The sequence below is a fragment of the Homo sapiens genome, chromosome 7 (assembly GCF_000001405.40).
Source record: "Homo sapiens chromosome 7, GRCh38.p14 Primary Assembly".
NCBI lineage: Eukaryota > Metazoa > Chordata > Mammalia > Primates > Hominidae > Homo > Homo sapiens.
In genome coordinates this window covers 30262608-30282940 of record NC_000007.14, presented here as the reverse complement: position 1 = coordinate 30282940, position 20333 = coordinate 30262608, and the positions used below count along the sequence as shown (strand labels likewise).

At 42.0% G+C, this 20333-nt stretch overlaps 2 long non-coding RNA genes across 3 annotated transcripts in view, besides 2 other annotated features; one reads left to right on the top strand and one right to left on the bottom strand.

The window, feature by feature from the left end:
* The window catches only part of LOC124901607 (uncharacterized), a 95727-nt gene that overhangs the window by 1314 nt on the left and 74080 nt on the right, over positions 1 to 20333 (bottom strand). The window lies entirely within an intron of this gene.
* The window catches only part of LOC105375218 (uncharacterized), a 38659-nt gene that overhangs the window by 3145 nt on the left and 15181 nt on the right, over positions 1 to 20333 (top strand). Inside the window, exon 2 of the long non-coding RNA NR_136267.1 lies at positions 19248 to 19317. This is a non-coding gene — a long non-coding RNA (uncharacterized LOC105375218). The remainder of the gene's footprint in view (positions 1 to 19247; positions 19318 to 20333) is intronic.
* Positions 1492 to 1551: a silencer, noted in NCBI's record as "silent region_18060". NCBI's record gives its function as "represses an Ori minimal core promoter by ATAC-STARR-seq in GM12878 lymphoblastoid cells {active_cell/tissue: GM12878}" and the evidence as "EXISTENCE:reporter gene assay evidence [ECO:0000049][PMID:35858748]".
* Positions 3472 to 3591: an enhancer, noted in NCBI's record as "active region_25809". NCBI's record gives its function as "activates an Ori minimal core promoter by ATAC-STARR-seq in GM12878 lymphoblastoid cells {active_cell/tissue: GM12878}" and the evidence as "EXISTENCE:reporter gene assay evidence [ECO:0000049][PMID:35858748]".

Below are 20333 nucleotides of genomic sequence, written 5' to 3'. Positions count from 1 at the left end.
AATGAATGAATGAGTGAGTGAATACATGTATCCTCACCAGTTGTACTAAAACGATTCTTTCTTGAATGTCACTCATTAACTTATCATGTTCTTATTCTCCTTGACATTTCGCTTGTGGTGGGTGCCCCTTCCACCTCCTCTCTGGTGAGCCTTGTTTCTTTCCCCACGAAGGTTCTGGAGATAAAATGCTGGCCTTCTATGTTCTTTCCTTGGCCTTCTTTCCTCTCTCCTCACCCCTCTCATCTCTCTCCAGTCACCAGCATGAAGCTGTCAATGTGTGTTATTGTCAACCAAACAGTTCTGACTTCGTTGAAAATGTGTCGCTTATTTATTTATTTATTTATTTGAGACAGAGTCTCGCTCTGTCACCAGGCTGGAGTGCAGTGGTGCGATCTGGGCTCACTGCAACCTCTGCCTCCCAGGTTCAAGCAATTCTCCTGCCTCAGCCTCCAGAGTAGCTGGGTTACAGGCACGTGCCACCATGCCCAGCTCATTTTTTCGTACTTTTAGTAGAGACAGGGTTTCACCATGTTGGCCAGGATGGTCTCTAACTCCAGAACTTGTGATCCACCCGCCTCGGCTTCCCAAAATGCTGGGATTACAGGCGTGAGCCACCATGCCTGGCCATCACGTCTTTAGTATACCTACCAGTTCTTCAAAAATTAAAAGTGCTGCTTCATCCAAATGAGTACACACAGGTATACACACATGTAGAACTGCAACGGGTTTTTGAGATAATACCCATGCTACCTGAAATGCACTCTGCTTTCTATTTGACTTCACTTTTGTAAAATGCTGGTCACTGCTTATTGGATTGATTTTACACCCCCCTATGGGGATGTAATCTGCACTTTGATAAACAGTAGTCTAAATCAGTGCTTTGCAAACTTTAGCACACACAAGGATTACAGGAAAACCTTGTTAAAACAGGCTGTTGGGCCCCACCCTCAATGATTCTCATTCCATAGCTCAGGGTTGGGCCTGGAGAATTTGCATCCTAACAAGCTGCCCAGTGATGTTGCTGCCATCAGACTTCGGACTCTTGTTTGGAGAAGCACTGGTCTAAATGACGCTTTCCTCTACAATCAGAACTGTTGTTTTAATGCCTTCACCACTTATCAAGAGACCAGAGCCCCAGCTCTTTAAAATTTTTCAAATTTGAAGGTTTTAAAATACACTATATTCCTCCTGATGCAGTTCAATGATATTTTGACCAAAGGCTTTGGGGGTGCAAAATTAGTCTGAATGTATTGTTAAAGCACTTCACATTGACAAAATTATTGTCCACAAACTCACACTGGAACAGGTAAGCTACTTCTGGGCTTTCAATAAAAATGCCTGACCAATCAGTTTGTTGTTGTCTAGTTTGAAGTTTAGTTGGGGCAAGCCTCTTCCCTTTGTGTTCCCTTACTCTCCTTTGCATTCCTCTTTCCTCTCTTGGTTTCTCTTTTAAAACTCTGCTGGATCAGACCTTTGATGTGTGGGACAGCAAATTTGCATAGTGACACCCATTAGTCCTCTTGGTCGGGGACCACAGCCTCTCTACAGGGCTGTCCTGCAGCCAGCAGTAGCCCTACACATTTTGCTAAGGTTTTGCCATCCCACTTTTCCCCTTGTTATAGGATTTAAGAGATGGTTATGGCTTTGCTTTTTTTTTTTTTCAAGTAAGTGTTCATACACTACCTCATCTCTACCAAAATAGGACTATATGTATAATTGCCTATTTTTAAATAGGCCTATTTTCCTATTATTTTGCTTTTTAAAGAAACAAATGGACCATCTAAACATTAAAATGAATCTTAATACATCCTACATATGTGTTAATACATCCTACATACACTGTCCAAGATCTTAGTGGTGATTAGAAACTTACATCTTAAATTCAAAATCTTAGTTTGTAGTATTTAGGAGTCACATTGTTGGGTAATTGTTCAGAAAACATCAAAAGTTTATGTAATGTCTTTAACAAATTTTTATCCTCCCTCCCCTGTACTTGTATTAGTTTTTTAATGAGAAGCAAAAGACAAGAGCCAATCATGACAGGATTAAAAGTACATGCCGTGAAGTGGTTGAGCTCAAGCTGGGGTTAGGCCCTGGCTTTGTCTGACACTGGCTGTGGGATTTAGGGCAAGCCACTTAACCTGGCTAAACCTGTTCCTTCTGTAAAACATGGATGATCATATAGCAATACCAGTCTCACAGAGTGGCTATGATTCTCAAAAGATTCATTCTCTATTTGAGAGTACTTTCAAATGTGTTAATAGAGAAACAAATTTTAATCTCAATGTTATTATCCCTAGCAGATTGTAATAATTTCCATATCATCTCTAGCATGTTGTGACATTGTACAGTTTAATATATACTAATACTCAATGAAATTGATTTTACCATTTTGTGAAATTTTAATACATTATTGATGCATAAGGATGTATTGGTAATAATTCGTTAGTAGTAGTTTACTAATAAGTATTTACATCACTGCTATAATAATGATGATAGTATGATATGTCATGACACATCTATATCTTTCCACCATGGGATGGATGGATGTGTGTGTGTGTGTGTGTGTGTGTGTGTGTGTGTGTACATATACTCATAGATAGCTAGATAGATGAAATTTGAAAGGAAATTATCATTAAGATATCAGAGACTACCTATTTGAAATCTCCAATATTTAAACTCTTAAACATTTTTTTTCTTTTGATTCCACAGGGTAGTTAACACTTTGACTAAAGAGTCTTTGGGTCCTAAATAGACTTAAATGTGTCACAAAAGTATTTCATGTTAATTAATCAATGACTGGAGCCCTATGGCTATGTTTAACATAGATTCCAGAATCATTTTCCTTTCTAAAAACAGCTTGAGATATAATGTCAGCACCTGCTAATAAAAATAATTTTTGCTTGCCAAAATGGTATGTAGTATTACTAAGAGCTTAAATATTTATATTGTGTTCTATTCTCAATTAATTCACTTGGGCTTTCAAACGTTGTTTTTTTTTTTATCTGTAAGAGCCCTAATTTAAAAACCCTTAATACCAACCAACCACAACCCATGATGCTTTTACTCCATTATAAAGGAAACTCTCAGATTCCATACATAGTGTTTTGAAAGGAATCCAAGATCTTTACTGGGGACATACTGTTGAAAAGACATAAAATTTAGTGGAAAAATGTATCATGGGGTCGGTACCAAGGGGATTTTCCCAGCCTACGGAAGTGAAGACTAGCTTGGAGAAAAAATAGCCCTCTGCTACATAATGCATGTGGTCCCTCCTCCAGTGCAGATGCACCCTCCAAACTGCCTCCTGTCACTTGCTTAAATCATGAATACTGTACGTGAATGACTGTTGTACATGAATGATTAAAACGTATTATAAGACATTTTCCCTTACCACTTCCTCCCTCAAAGTTAGTCAAAAGCCCCCGTAAAGGCAAGCCCTACATTTTAGGACTAGATTGTTTAAGCCTCCCAAGTACAGGAACTCTATTTCTGCTTTATTTTTAACTCTCCAGAGTGCCTGCTTATAGAGAGCTCAAGGACAATCTATATGCAAGAGACTTTGAGTAACAGCTATGGCTCGCTAAGGACAGGCAGCAGTGATTAATGCATGTCCGGAATTACTACCAACTTAACAGACTGTCGTCACCACATTAAGTTTGTGTGTGAAGTTGGCTGCCTTCTACACTGTTCAGCCAGGGCAAGTTTGTGCATTAGGGGGCCAATTCCCTTTGAGTTGCTATTGAATGATCTACGCCCCCAAGTTAGGCCAGGTTGGAAAGGGTAAGGTCATAGTTGCAGAACTGCCTTTCTTCCACCATGAGAAGATAGAGCAACAAGAGCTCCTGGTCAATTTACCCCACCCTCTGTTTCCCAGAAGTTAGCTGGGCTCTGGCTGAACTCTAGGGATACAAGTCTAAACTGGGTAGGTTTTGGAACATAGCCCTGAGCTGGGTCATACCTGGTGCAGGGAAACATCGGAATAACTTAGGACCCCCAATGGAGATATTTTCATTCTTTAAACAGAGTAGCTGAGCATCTGGGGATGTAAAGTTAAACCAACTAAACACCATATAGCTTCAAAAACCTTATAGCTTCTAATCAAGGGACTTAGATAGAAATGAAGAGATGGTCAGAGTACCATGTGGTAAAGGCATACTGGAGCTGACTGAAGGGATGGGGATTGGTGAAGGACAAAGATGTAGTCTGAGAAGGGACGCTGGGCTGAGTCTTGAGAGACTTCTGGCTTCAGCACCCATAGGCATTCCAGGCTGAGGGAGCATGAAGCAAGGGAGAGCTTTGAGCAGCTGAAGAACTTCAAGCAGTTAATTATAGCTGGAATGAAGAGTAACAGGTGAGAGGGTGAGAGAATAGGCTGGAAAGCTGCATGTAACCGGCCTGGTGTGCTGAGCTAAGAAGTTGGAATTCATCCAGAAAGCAAAAGGGAACCACTTTCCCAAACAGGGAAGTAGCAGGATCGCATTTACAGTATGGAAAGACAACTCCAGCAGTATTTTGGAGAATGGATTGATGGGAGGGAGGAACGCACAGTGAAGTGGAAGACTAGTCCAGAGGCTAACGTAGTCATCCAGGCAAGAAGTGAAGAGAACCTGAATTAGAGTGGTGGTAGGGCAGATTCTAAAACTCTTGAGAGAGCAGCCACCGCAGGTCTTGGAGGCCAATTGGATGTCCTACGTGACCAAGAAGGAAGAGTCAAGGATGACAGAGTCAAGATGACCAGGGACAGATAGTCCCTGGTCCTAGCACTAAGTAGGACTATGGGGGAAAGAGCACATTTGAGGAGAGGGAGCTGAATTCAGCTTTACGTAGGCAGAACAAAACCAGCCTTGTAGTTATGGCAAGGCATGGGGTTAGGTTCTGTTGGCTTTAGGCCTCCAGCTGTATGTTGAATTTGCACAGGGGTATGCACAGGTTACCCTAGTCTGGTCCCTCAGCGCACCGGATTTCACTTTGCTCAGTGTTTCTTGGTGTGGGAATCACGTCTCCAGCTCTCTCTGTATGTGTTCACCCTGTGCCTGCTCAGTGCTGTTCTGGGGATGGACACCCTGAGCACAGGGGTCAACAAAGGAGTGGAGTTAGTGCTCAGTTCAGTTGGAAGGTGACCAAATATGAATGCTGGGTGTGGCAAATTAATTTTCATTGTTATCACTCCATGAGCGAGGGAAATGCAGCCCTTGTTATTTTCCAACATAGTCTCCAGTAGAAACAGTTGTTTGTGACACTGAATTAGTTTGTTAAAAAATTCATACCTGAAAAATTGCATCATATATTACTTTAAAAGTAATGACTGTAGTAGGCAGAAAAGTGCTGCCTCTGCCCACCCAAAAATGTCCATGTCCTCATCCCTGGAACCTCTGAATATGTTACCTTACTGAAGCAAGAGAGACGTTGTAGTTGTCAATAAATTCAGAATCTTGAGATAGGGAGCTAGACCTGGGTGGTCTCTGTGGTCCCAGGGTGCTTACAAGATTCCTTAAAAGTAAAAGGGGCAGGCAGGGTCAGAGTGGTTCAAAGAAACGCTCAAGGCTATTGTTGGTTTTGAAGCCTGAAGAGGGCCACCAGCCAAGGGATGCAGGTGGCCTCTAGAAGCTGGAAAAGACAAGGAGATGGATTCTCCCCGAGACTCCAAGAAGAACACAGCCCTCCTGACACCTCAATTTTAGGTGAGTCAACTTAAGTCCCATTTCAGACTTCTGACCTCTAGAACAGTAAGATAAATTTGTGTTGTTTTAAGCCACTGAATTTATGATAATTTGTTACATCAGCAATGGGAAAACTAATACAATGACTATTCTTTAAGGTTTCAGAAGGCAGCTGATTACAAACTACTTCGAAAAAAAATCTGATAAATATGGCCACTAAATCCCTATGTGGCTAATCACATATACTTTTCTTTTTTTTTCTTTTCTTTTTTTTTGAGATAGCGTCTTGCTCTGTCCCCCAGGCTGGAATGCAGTGGCCCGATCTCAGCTCACTGCAACCTCCTCCCCCCGGGTTTAAGCAATTCTCCTGCCTCAGCCTCCCGAGTAGCTGGGATTACAGGTGTGTGCCACCACGCCCGGCTAATTTTTGTATTTTTAATACAGACCGGGTTTTGCCATGTGGGCCACACTGGTCTCAAACTCCTGACCTCAGGTGATCCACCCGCCTCGGCCTCCTGTAGTGCTGGGATTACAGGCCTGAGCCACCACATCCGGCATTAATCACATACACTTCTTCTTGACTTCCTGCCCTCACTCCTGAGCCCTGGTAGTGTAGGGAGCCATGCTTTCTTGAAGCTAGGCCTGCAGGTATCTGGGCTAGCATGCTGCTGTCAAAAGAACCGCATGGAACTTTCCATTGCTGGCCTTGGAACATCCTTGTAAGCAGGCTTCCAAATGTAAGCATTGAGATTAGAAGGGCACAGCATTAAAAAGAACAACCTTTGGTTCAAAGTTTCTGTTTGTATTTTCTAGAACTCTTAAAAGTCAATATATGTAGGTGGACAAAATATTTGGTGAAATTACAGTTCTGAAAATAGCCTTATGTTTGCCAGGACTTGAGGAAGGCCCCCAAGTGATGTCTAGTCCACCTCCTGCAAAGGCAAGAAGGCGGAGGTTGGGAAAGTCCACACTGACATCTAGTGATACAAAACTGCACTGCCAAAGGCTCCAACTGAAGCTATTTGCAGCAGTGGGCTCCTCAATTCTGATGCATCTACTGCCCCCCAAGAGGGCTTGAAGACTCAGTGCACACCAGCCAATTTCAGCTGCCCTGGTGGGGGCCAAAGCAGTTCAGGCTTCTTTATGTTTCACTTACAAACTTAGTTTGGCCATCTAAGAGTTTTGCCTCTTAATTTTTGAAATGATCATTTCAGCACATTTTAAAGCTATAGAATTTACTGCTAAAAGCTTCTTTGTGCTTGCAGTGGCCAGACCCTTTAATGCCAAGTGAATTTTTTTATTTTCTATATGTTCTCAGAACAAATGCTTGGGCTGAAATGTCCTGAGCAAGGAATGATCTGCAGCAGGGGATGGAACCAGTACAGCAGGTACTTGTCCTTTTTAGGCCCTGAGAACACTGTCTGCATTTCATTTTCAGCAACTCAGAAGTCTAAGGTACAGAAGAAATGACAGAGAATGCTTCTTCTGTCTTTCCATTTTTCTTCTATACACCAATGAAAATAAGTCAGCAGAGATACGATTTCTAGTTCCTTCCTTAATGGCGGCACAGTTAGAAGCAAGACTGCATTTTTAAGGTTGTTGCAGTAACCCAGGTGAAAAAGAATGAGGAGGCTGCACAACAATATGAATGTACTTAATGCCACTAAACCACTTAAAATTGGTTAAAATGGTAAATTTTGTGTTACGTCTATTTTACCTCAATTAAAAAAATAATGAAGGCTGGACAGCATCAGTAACAGTAGGAATGGAAGAAGCTTTTGCAGGACTGATCAAATGATTGGATGCAGATACGTTTTCACATCGTTCTCATAGGCAAAATGTACACATGAACAAATACTAAACTGTTTAGAATACTAATGCCAAAAAACTTCTACAACCTCCACATCGAAACAAACAGACCTGAACATTAGGAAATAATCAGATTTTACAAGGAATGTGTTTTTTATACACTTTGGACATTTTCTTTCATAATATGTAAATATCAAAACCTTCAAGCAAATCATACAGACAAGAAAATAACATGTGCTGCATTAAAAACATACAGACTTAGCAAAGAAAGGACAAAAACAAAAAACCTCCTAAGGCAGTTTTGACTCTCAGAAATATACGAGAGAGCTAAAAACACTGACAGAATTCAGTTGCTTCTGTGAAGCAAGCGAAAAAGGGGAAAATAAATAACTTTTAGGAAGGCACTCCAGACCTGACCTGTACAAACAGCAAATTCAAAGGTTTTGAAAATGATGAGTTTTTACTTTTTAGAGTTTGTAATCAATTGAAATAGTGATTCATTGACATTCTGGGGAGGCATTAGAAATGACCTAGAATTTCTCTGGTAAAACATAGCATTTCAGTACGTTTAGAGGTACACGTAGCTGGTTTCTCCAGTACAGTTTTTAACAGGTGGCATACTAATAATAAATCTTGCTCTGTTTCTTAACACCACTTCCCCCAACTGCTAATGATGGGGTGAAAAAGTGAAAAATACTGTCTAGACCAATATTAATAAGGAGAATGACGGCTACAATTAGGATTTCATTTTAATACAGCAGGATTTTTATACTGAATTAAATGTTCATATATGTTTATTTGATAATAACTCATGAATTTCAGTGGCAAAAAAAAGTTTCTTCTGGAGCTCACAAACAGGATGAACAATTAAAAATAAATAAATAAGTCCCACCATGCAGAAAATTTACTTAGCTTGACACATATGAACTTGAGAGGAACGAGAGTTTTGGAAAGTGAGGCCAGCTTCTCTAGGACTTTGGCAAACTCAGTCATCATGCAGAGGAAAGAAGGAAGCAAGTGCCTGTTACCTTCAGTGCTCAATACTAGAATGATAGCCATCTATGGCCAAATTTGAAATGGTGATGCCTTGAGAAACTAAATAATAAGAACTGTCTTTTTTTTAGATTTAATGTAATCTAGCTAATGGCTTGTGTATAATTTTCCAGACAACTTAATGGATATTTTTATGATTTAAAATAATTGTCTTCCATGTCAGTCAAGACATAAAGAATACAAATTTCCGCATTGGAAGAATGAATAGCCTCAGGAAGAAGTTTATATCTGTTGGAGCAGTAATTCCAGGCACTGGTCTACAGACCAGCACCAGTCTGTAATAAGGTGCTCACAGTGAAATAAGAAAAATTAGGACAGTGCAGTAGCTTTGTTATCCATAAAAAGTTAAATGTATTTCATGCACAAGACTATCTTTAGTCTAAGATTAGATCCTTCCTACCCTATGATAGTTGTAGATGGCCATAGATTTGGGGAGTATTTGGTTTTTTGTTTCTTCCTTTTTAAATGTAGATTTCGTTTTTTGGGACAAAGAAATATTGGCACCCTGATGTTGATTCCTAAACTGTTTTTGAATTTTTACTGACCTGTGAAATCTAAAATGTTGGAAACTGTTGCTCAAGAGATCAGCAGTTCTCACCTTTGTTTTCCCTGCCTGCCCCAACATACTGGAGAGATAGGATATACCCCCATCAGCTCGAGCCTCAGTAAGACTTGTTATCAGCAGAAACTTAGGCTCTTGAAGAGGGAGGGTGCATATCAGAATGGCTGGAAGTCATATATGTACTAGACAAAGGCCCCAGGTGGTTCTAAGAGGGCCCAAACCCCAGCTAAACTGACAATTCTCACTCAGTAATACTGATATATCCAGTGGGCCTAGAAATGACCCAGATACCTCATTTATTAATTTATCATCTTGCCCTCTCTACAGGACTGTTATCTTTACTTCCCAGAAAAATGAGTAGGATTTCTCCGGAAGGCAAGTCCCTCTGAAGTATCCACCAACCAATGCCATACAGGTTTTTTTCGTCTCTAACACCAGTCCTTCACACTGTAATTCAGACACACTTTTCTTTACTCTTTCAGGCCATGCCATGTAGCTATTCTTGGTCATCGTTTCCTCAAGGAAACATTGAAGGGATAAGGTCCAGGTCTTTCAAACTGCCCACTGTGACCCGTTAGTGTAGTGGAAAATGAATCCAGCTAAACATGACCAGTATTTTTTTTTTCTAAAAGAGCATAGTATTGAAAGACTAGAAAATATCAAAGTAGGCTGGATGCAATGGCTCATGCTTATAATTCCAGTGCTTTGGGAGGCTGAGGTGGGAGGATGGCTCAAGGCCAAAAGTTGGAGACCAACCTGGCCAACATAGTAAGGCGTCATCTATACAAAATAAATAAATAAAAATATCAAAGTGCATGGAATTTAGTGAAGCTAAACATTGTTTTATGAAACTTTATATATATTCTGAGCTGAGACATAGAATATTTCTCCTAATATAGGTTATAGTTTTTAAAAAAGTTGGCTGTGTACGGTGGCTCACACCTGTAATCCCAGCACTTTGGGAGGCCGAGGCAGGCAGATCACCTGAGGTCAGGAGTTCAAGACCAGCCTGGCCCACCTGGTGAAACCCCGCCTCTACTAACAATACAAAAATTAGCCAGGCATGGTGGTACACACCTGTAATCTCAGCTACTCGGGAGGCTGAGACAGGAGAGTTTCTTGAACCCAGGAGACGGGTTGCAGTGAGCTGAGATGGTGCCACTGCACTCCAGCCTGGGCGACAGAATGAGACTCCGTCTCAAAAAAAAAAGAAAAAAAAAGTTTGAAAACCATTAGATTCATTCAACAATCTCTATAATCTATTACACCTTAAAATTCTATGAATTTCACTTTGGTAATGAGCATAGAACTCTCCCTTCTCCCACCCTGCTCAACATAGCCCTCAACAAATCCAAGAACTCCTCTTTATCCTTGAGCCTGAGGTCCCATCTGGTATCTCCAGGCAATCTGACTTGGCCTCAGGCCTTCCTCTGGGCTCCCCTGGCCTTTGGGATGGTGCTTAACATACTACTTATAATACTATATTGTAATCGTCCATCTCCCCAGCAAATTGTGCCAGAGTGCACTTGAATGAGTGAAGGAAGGAGGCAAGCAACAGTGTATTTGCTTAAGGGAGTGGTTCACAACCTGGCTTCACATCAGAATCCCCTGGGAAGCTTTTAAAAAGCCCAATACCCAAACCGTACCTGGACAATTAAAGCAGAAGCACTGTCAGTGGTGTCCAGGCATCAGATTCTTTTTTTTGGCAGGGGGTGTGGGGAAGGAGTCTCGCTCTGTACCCCAGGCTGGGGTACAGTGGTACAATCTCAACTCGCTGCAACCTCTGCCTCCCACGTTCAAGCGATTCTCCTGCCTCAGCCTCCCGAGTAGCTGGGACTTCAGGTGTATGCCACCACGCCCAGCTAATTTTTGTATTTTTAGTAGAGATAAGGTTTTGCCATGTTGCCCAGACCAGTCTCAAACTGCTGGTCTCAAATGATTCCCTGGCCTGGCCTCCCAAAGTGCTGGGATTACAGTCATGAGCTACCATGCCCAACCAGCATCAGATTCTTTAAAGCTCCGCAAGGGGAGTCCAATATGCAGATGAGATTGAAAGTGACTGATGTAGACCAGGTCCTGGGGATCTTGTGAAAATGCAGATACTGCCTCCCTAGACCTGGAGTAGGGGCACAAGATTCTTTCTAATGTGCTTCCAGGTGATGTTGATGCTGATGGTCTGCTGACCACATCTTGAGAAAGGAGGGAAGAGCCATCTGATGGATTCTCTGGCTACATAAAAAGAGCTGAGATAGCAAAGTCAGACAGACCTGGAGGAGAGCAAGGGTAGTGACCAGGCATATGATTACTGGAGTAAATTGCCTGGCACCCTTTCTTCCTAGTGATGTGACCTTGGGCTAGTTATTTAAAGTTGCCTTCATCTGATGATGGAGATATAACATAATATAATACATAGGGTGGGTGTGAGAACTGAGCAGAACACCACGGACACCGTGGTACGCATGTGTGAGTTATTAGCATTATTATTACGTATCCCAATTCCACCACTTACTAGCTTTGTGCTGTTGGTAAGTGTATTAGTCCATTCTCACACTGCTGTAAAGAACTACCTGAGACTGAGTAATTTATAAAAAGGACGGTTAATTGACTCACAGCTCTGCAAGCTATACAGGAGGCATGTCTGGGAAGGCCTCAGGAAACCTACAATCATGGCAGAAGGCGAAGTGGAAGCCAGCAAGTCTTATGTGGTAGGAGCAGGAGGAAGAGAGAGCAAAGGGGGAAGTGCTACGCACTTTCAAACAACCAGATCTTGTGAGAACTCACTCGCTATTGTGAGAAAAGCAAGGAGGAAATCCACCCCCATGATCCAATCACCTCTCACCAGGTCTCTCCCCCAACATTGGGGATCACAATTCAACATGAGATTTGGGTGGGAACACAGAGCCAAACTATATCAGCAAGTTGCTTAACCTCTCTGAGCTCCAGTTTCCTGCACTGTAAAATGGGGAATCATAATATCCATCAATCTCCTTATAAGATTGGAAAGATAAAGAAACTATATGTAAAATTCTTAGCACAATGTTCGATCCATGTGCATGCTCAATAAGTGGTTATTCCTCAAATTAGTTTCATTTGTATTGGGATAAATCATTGTTCCCTCCCATAGGTACATTTTCTATTTAACCAGTTGCCAGTTCTCAGAATCTTCTCCTGCCCCCCACACCACACAGGCTGCAGATTGTAGGGATAGATGACAGAGGATGGGAGGCTCATCTCACTCTCTATTTCAATACGTTCTACTTCAACAGCAGGGCTTGTTTTTATTACCTTATTGAGTTCACATGGGTAGCTTTTGGCAGCAGCAATTATTCTCCTTATTACTCTACAGATGAAGAAATAGATTTGGCTCTGATATGTTGGATTTTCTCAAGCAAGTCCCATATCGAAAATAAAAGCGTTTAATTCTAATCAGAGACAGCCGGGAAAAAAAGAAAAAAAAAAAAAACCTCCTGGCTTCCTGCCTCTTGAAAGCCTCTCCTTCAAAATGTTTTGAGGACCTGCAATGTGCCAGGTATTGTACCAGATTCAAAGTAGAATACGTGACAGAGAGTTGAACAAATCACTACAGGATCACTGGGGAGCAGGGGATGGAGAGGAGGCTCTTGACAGATGGGAATGGGGCAGACAGGATATGCTGTTTCACATAAGAGGTGCTACCTTGGCTGGGCAGTGAAGGTTAAGGAGGATTTGAGAAGTGGCAAATGGGGGAAAGGTGTTCAGGAAGAGAGAACAGCACGAACAATGACAGTGAGCTGGGAAACAGGCTGGCGTGTTTGGGGAATGGCAATTAAACAGGATGGAAGAAGATGGCACTAGAAAGTTAGCTTGGGGACAGATTGTATGCCAGGTGAAAGAGTTTGGATTTTAACCTGTCACTCTGTGATAGGCTGATCACATAATTCATCATCCAAATGCGCCACTTTTGAGAGTTAATGGGCATGCTACCCAGATAGAATAACCAAACACTCAGCAGAAAACAGCACTGTTCCAGGCCAACAGAGGCATACAGTCACCTAGCTTTGGGAAACCTCTAAGGACTAACACTCATCAAATTTGTTTATTGTAGAGGGAATTCTGGCAGCAATGTGGATTGGAAAAAAGAGGAAGTTCCTGCCGTCAAGGAGACAGCTAGGAAGGCAGTGGGAATGAAGAGGAGAGAGATAGACGATTGGTTTTGTAAGAAATAAGACAGACTGAACTTGGAGACAGACAGAGAGAGAGAATAGCTAATGATGACTCTGCACTTCCAGCCTGGGTGCCATGGGGCTGGGAAGACAAGAAGAGAAACAGGTTTTAGGGAAACAGTTTGTATAATTTGAGGCATGTTGAGCTGGAGATATTTGCTAAATATGTATGTCAGCATCCAGTAGGCAATTAGAACAGGAGGCGTAGAGCTCACAGGTGTGGATTGAACATGTAGATTAGGTCGTTAGGATACTAGGTGGAAGTTGCTCCAAATACTGAAGGAGAGATGGTAAAGAGGGAGACAATATGAAACCTAGGATGGACTTAGAGGAAATGGCAAGGAGCTGGTGGAGGAAGAGGAGCCAGGGAAGGAAGAGGTGGAGTCAGAGTTGTAGGAGGAAAAATAGAGGAGAGGTATCCCAGAGGGTGAAAGAAGGGGAAAGTTTTTGGGATGAAGGTCATTCATTCAACGATGTCAAAAGTAGCAAACAGGTAGGGAATGGTGAAGATTGGCATCATTCTTGAGCACAGCATCCATCAGTGTTGATCTTTTTTGAGTGGTGGAGATGGAAGACAGGCCACTGCATGTTGCAGACTGCATGGGAATGAGTACTAGATAGCAATTACAGGCCACTCTTTCCAGAGGTTAATAGTGACAGGCAGGAGAGGGAGTTATAGCAACTTGATGGGGAGGCAAGGTTTCCCTGCTTGATTTTCCTCATGCTGTTTACTGCTACGTCTTGTGTGAACACGTGGTTGGAAAATTAGAGAAAAGGCAGCTGAATCCACCGCGGGTCCCCTGGGTTCTGCTTTCATAGTCTTGAGAGCTGAACTTGAAGTGCTTTTCACAGTCATGAGAGTTGAATCCAAGTGATGATGGCTTTAAGAAATTACACTGAGAGTGAGTTTTCCAGCCCCAAATCTTGATGTCTTGGTTTGTATTCAGACATAACTTGGCGACGGCCCAGTTAGGACATTTCAGTGTATAGAGCTTTTTACACATTGCTGTTGTAGGCTGCTATAGCTTAGAATTTGATGATCACAGCTATTATACATTGTGAAAAGATTGATTAAAAGAATTTTACATAATGAATACTCATGATTCTGTGTGTAAGACCAAAGATGACTAAATCAGTACCCTCAGAGCCTGCAGAAAATATGGCTTTCCAAAAATAAAGGCAGTGTGTGGCTCTCCGGGATTCTCTAGTCCTTCACTAACCTTGGCCTAAAGATATGCAGGTCACCAATCTGATCCTCATGGTGGGTCATCTCCAGCAACAGGGACTTGTGGTCCCTAACGTGATGTAAACTCAGAGATAAAACAGGTAATATAAACTCAGAGAAAGGAGACTCCCTTAAAGAATGAAGAGAGGCTGGGTGTGGTGGCTCACACCTGTAACCCCAGCATTTTGGAAGGCCGAGATGGGAGGATCACTTAAGCCCAGGAGTTTGGGACCAGTCTGGCAATGTAGTGAGACCCTGTCTCTACAAAATGTAAAAAAAAAAAAAAAAAAAAAATTAGTCAGGCATGGTGGTACACACCTGTAATCCTAGCTACTCAGGAGGCTGAGGTGGGAGGATCACTTGAACTGTGGAGATCAAGGCTGCAGTGAGCCGAGATCATGCCACTGCACTCCAGCTTGGGCAACAGAATGAGACCCTGTCTCAAAAGAAAAAAAAAGATGAACAAGAATGAAGACAGAGGGTGAACGACAAGAAGATGCATCTATCGAGGGCTGCAGTTCTTACCTTCACCTCCTGATGCATGGAGAGATAAGTAAAAATAGTTTGTTGGCACTAAAGTTTTTCTACTGGTAGGCCATATTCATTTAATTGACAACAATCCTCCCTATTGGTAGACCACATTAGTTAATTTGACAACAATTCTCCCTTCTTGGTATAAGATATCTATTTACATATCATAATTCTCTTTTAAAATGTACTGGTCCTCTTCAGTCTTCAGAATATCTCTGCCACTGTTTTCCATACTGGCTATGCATGTGACAACATTCATTTCCCAGCACTGACACTGCCATCATCCATCAATCTCAGGTCACTCCTGCAGTCAGGGAGGACTTAGACACCTGGTTCAGTCTCCTTCTCCCCTCAAATAGTATCCTGGTCCTGGAGGATTTCAGCCTCCATGTGGACACCCTCCCATCAGTCTGGCCTGAACATCCATTGCCTGCCCCCTCCCGCAGCAGTGACCTTCGCTTGCACTCCATTCCAGGTGTCCATTCCCCTGGCCTTACCCTGGGCCCTGTCATCACTTGAAACGACTCCACCTCTAACAGTAACTCCAGCACTGCTTTCTCACACAACTCACTCTCTTTCCCCATTAACACTTCATTGGGATATTGTTGGCAAAAATGTAAGTATCTCCAAAACTTCTCTCCTCTAGGAAAGCAGTGAGAAAACCAGCAAAAATAATGAGACTCAACTTTTTCAGAACTCTGTAAATTAACCCAAGGCTTGCAGCAATCCAGGGAGTGTTTATTCCAGAAAAATGGTTGAATCTCAGTAAGTGCAGCAAGCTTAACTTGCCCTGTTCCCATCACCCACCTCCTCCAGCTCTGTGGTAGCCTTGAAAATCAACAGCCCACAATCACAGTGAAAGCCAATAGCCTGGCAGCCACTGGAGGAGGCACAGTAGTATTAGAGTTCCTTCAAAACCTCATTCCCACAGATCTGTCAGGATTTGCCCTCTCTGGGAGTTCCCAGGAAGACTTTAATTGCAAGACTTTAATTGCAGATTTACTTGATCTGAAGATCACCCGGTGCAAAAACCCTTTTCCCTGGGGACATTTATTCAAAACATTTGGAGGCAACCATTTAATTTCAAGGGTGCCTGAAGTAGTGGATACTAGTTGGCAAACAATAGGCTAACCAAAAAGCTTTCAAGGAAAAGCCAGGGAATGAGATGGCTGTAGGAACTTGACATATTCCTGAAAGCTAGAAGGCCACATGCCTGCAGAGGGCTGTGCATGAGCCCAGGGTTGTGTGGATGCTTAGGAAAGACCTGAGAAGGCCCTAAGTTCTCACCTCTGTGCAACATATCCTTGAAGCTGTGTGCAGGCAGGCTGTGAAGGCTCAAACAGAATTGTCAAGGCCCTGGCTGAGTGTTGAAGGCTAGCCCCAATTTACTCACAGAACCCCTTTGCAAAAACTGGGAAGCTCATTAGTCCCTGATATTTAAGGAAATCTGTATCCAATCATTACCTGACCACTAAACTAACTGTACAGAGACTTCAGCAGCCAAACATGACAAAGAATACAGACTTTACAGACTATTTCAGAAAAGTCACTAAACAAACAATAACTAAGAGCAACAATGACAAGCCCTGAGGAAGGCTGAGAATCTAATTTCCACAGTTGCCACATTATAGCATTTTAAATATGCAATTTTCAACAAAAAATTACAAGACATTCAAAGAAACAAAAGAGTATGGCCAATACACAGGAAAAAAGCAATTAATAGAAACTGTCTCTGTGGAAGCCCAGGACTTAAGATGTTCCCTCACATATACCCACAATAGTGTTTGACCAAACAGCTAGCCACCCCATGGCTCAGTCAAGATGACACAATTGACCATCACACCTTTTACGAAAAATATGAGGCCGGGCACGGTGGCTCATGCCTGTAATCCCCACACTTTGGGAGGCTGAGGTGGGCAGATCACGAGGTCAGAAGATCGAGACCATTCTGGCCAACAAGGTGAAACCCTGTCTCTACTAAAATATAAAAAATTAGCCAGGCGTGGTGGTGTGTGCCTGTAGTCCCAGCTATTCAGAAGCCTGAGGCAGGGGAATCACTTGAACCCAGGAGGCAGAGATTGCAGTAAGCCGAGATCTCGCCACTGAACTCCAGCCAGGCAACAGAGTGAGACTCCGTCTCAGGAAGAGAAAAAAATGAAACTCATATGGCTATAATAAAAAAAATCAAAAAATAATAGATGCTGGCATGGATGTGCTAACAAGGGAACACTTTAACATTGTTGGTGGGAACGTAAACTACTACAACCACTATGGAAAACAGTGTGGAATTTCCTTTAAAAACTAAAAATAGATCTACCATTTGATCCAGCAATCCCACTACTGGCTATCTACCCAGAGGAAAAGAAGTAATTATACAAAAAAGATACTTGCACACATATGTTTATAGCAGCACAATTCACAATTGCAAAAATATGGAACCAGCCCAAATGCCCACCAATCAACAAGTGAATAAAGAAAATGTGATACACACACACACACCGTGGAATACTACTCAGCCATAAAAAGGAATGAAATGATGGCATTTGCAGCAACCTGGATCCTGGATGAAATTGGAGACCTTTTTTTTTTTTTTTTTTTTTTAGACAGAGTCTTGCTCTGTCACCAGGCTGGAGTGCAGTGGTGTGATCTCAGCTCACTGCAACCTCCGCCTCCCAGATTCAAGCGATTCCCCCGCCTCAGCCTCACAAGTAGCTGGGATTACAGGCACGTGCCACCACACCTGGCTAATTTTTTGCATTTTAGTAGAGATGGGGTTTCACCATGCTGGCCAAGATGGTCTCGATCTCCTGACCTCGTGATCCACCCACCTCAGCCTCCCAAAGTGCTGGGATTACAGGTGTGAGCCACCGTGCCTGGAGAACATTATTCTGAGTGAAGTAACTCAAGAATGGAAAACCAAACATTGTATGTTCTCACTCATAAGTGCGAGCCAAGCTATGATGATGCACAGGCATAAGAATGATAAAATGGACTTTGGGGACTTGGAGAAAAAGGGGGGTAAGGGATAAAAAATGAGATTCACACCCATTAGGGTAACTATTTTTTTAAAAAAAGGATTGATGATGATGGGTAGAAATTAGGACCCTGGTCCATTGCTGGTGGGAATGTAAAATGGTGCAGCTGCTATGGAAAACAGTATGGTGTTTCCTCAAAAAGTTAAACATAGATAAACCATAGAATCTAGCAATTTCTCTTCTAGGTATATGCCCAAAAGAATTAAAAGCAGGGATTCAAACAGATACTCCTACACCCATTTCATAGCAGCACTATTGTCAATAGCTAAAGGGTGGTAACAACCCAACCAACAAGTGCATGGATTTTTAAAATGTAGTATATACATAAAATTGGGTATCATTCAGCCTTTAAAAGGAACGAAAATTCTTTTACATAAATAAAGGATGTATGTGATTTTAATATATATCACAACATTGGTGAACATTGAAGACATTGTGCTTGGTGAAATAAACCAGACACTGAAGAGCAAATATTGCATAACGCAGCTTATAGAATAGACAAATCCATAGAGACAGAAAGTAGAATCGAGGTTGTAAGGCACTTGGGGAGGGAGGAATGGGGAGTTATTATTTCATGGATACAGAGTTTCTGTTTGGGATGATGAAAATGGATAGTGGTGACTATTGCACAACATTGTGAATATACTTAATGTCACTGAATTGTAGACGTAAAAATAGTTGAGGCTGGGTGCAGTGGCTCATGCCTATAATCTCAACACTTTGGGAGGCCAGGGCGGGAGGAGTGCTTGGGTCCAGGAGGTTGAGACCAGCCTAGGCAACATAGTGAGACTCCACCTCTGTTAAAAACAAACAACTAACTAAAAATAGTTAAAATGGTAAAGCGTATGTTATTTTACCACAATAAAAAGGGGAGAAAAGATCTGCGATCTGAAAATCATATATACATATATATGTGTATATATATGAAATTCATGCTTCTTATTAAAAGTTAAAATAGTTGGTAAGTAACATATTCACTGTTAACAGTTTAAACTGCTAGTCAATGTGTGCATGCTTAGTTTGTTGTTGCTATTATTTTGGGGTTTTGCAAATGAGATCAATAGCATGTCCTGATATCTCTCTGTTCCTGTACATATGTAGCTATAAGGTTTAGTACTAGAATACTTAGAGAAAGAAAATCTTATTTTTTTTTCTTTCTGTGTTTAGGAATATTACAGCAAATGAGTCTTCTTTGGTGGTCCAGCCACACCAGCCCTTATACTTCACAGCGTGAGTGGTATGTTAATTGGTGATAAACCCAGAATGATAGTCACGGTAGCAAAGGAGTTGTGGAAGTTAAAGCAGATGTCCCAACCTTCTCCTGAGGATACCTTTAGTGTAGTGTAAAGTGGTGATAGTTTGAGTTGGGAAAGAAAGACCCAGGAGTGGTAGGGGAGGGGAGACGTAAAGAGAAGGGAAGGGAAGGTGAGGCTGGCACTGAAGAGAAACTACTTCTGTTTCTCTCCTTCATTGAGAATTCTGTCTCCAGCCAGGAAGTCAGAGCACAGATGGGAGGTGGGGCATGGAAGCAGTGTTTGTCTTGGATGATAAAGAGGTAAGTTTTGGGTTAACAATTTGCTCAAAGTTGATCCATTAGCTAACATTTGCTATCTCCGGGCAAGGGAACTAGATGGCTGGATGCTGAAGTAAGACTTTATACCATGTGCCTTTTACTTTTGAATTTTGTACCATTTGACTTCACTAAGCCAAATGTTATGAGAGTTTCCCAAGCTAAGGACTTAGAACTGTGTTTTTCATTGTCTGATATAGAGCATAACAGTAGATCTAAACTCAGGGACATTCCCAAGGATCCGAGACATGGAGGGATCCCAACAGATTACTGGGTCTACACGTTGCCTCTAGCCATGGCCCTAACTGTATAGACAAAAAAAAGCAACACATCATGTTAGTTCAACATGTCAGCTCTGCAACAGGCTGCCTGGATTCAAGCTCTGGCCTTGCTGGTCATTAGCCTTGTTACTTTGGGCAAGTTATTTAATCTTTCTGTGACTCAATTTCCACAGTTATAAGTAAGGGATGATTATAATAGTAATAATATTAAGAGCCTAGTACATAAAAGTGTTGCTATTATTGTTGTTGTCGTTGTTATTTTTACTGTCAACGTACCTCAGTAATTGGGGAAAGGGCTCTAGCTTCCTAGTGCTGTATCTTTCCCACCATGCTGCTAATAATACTAATAATAATAATAGCTAACATCTAATGAGCACTTACCATGTTCCAGACACAATCCTG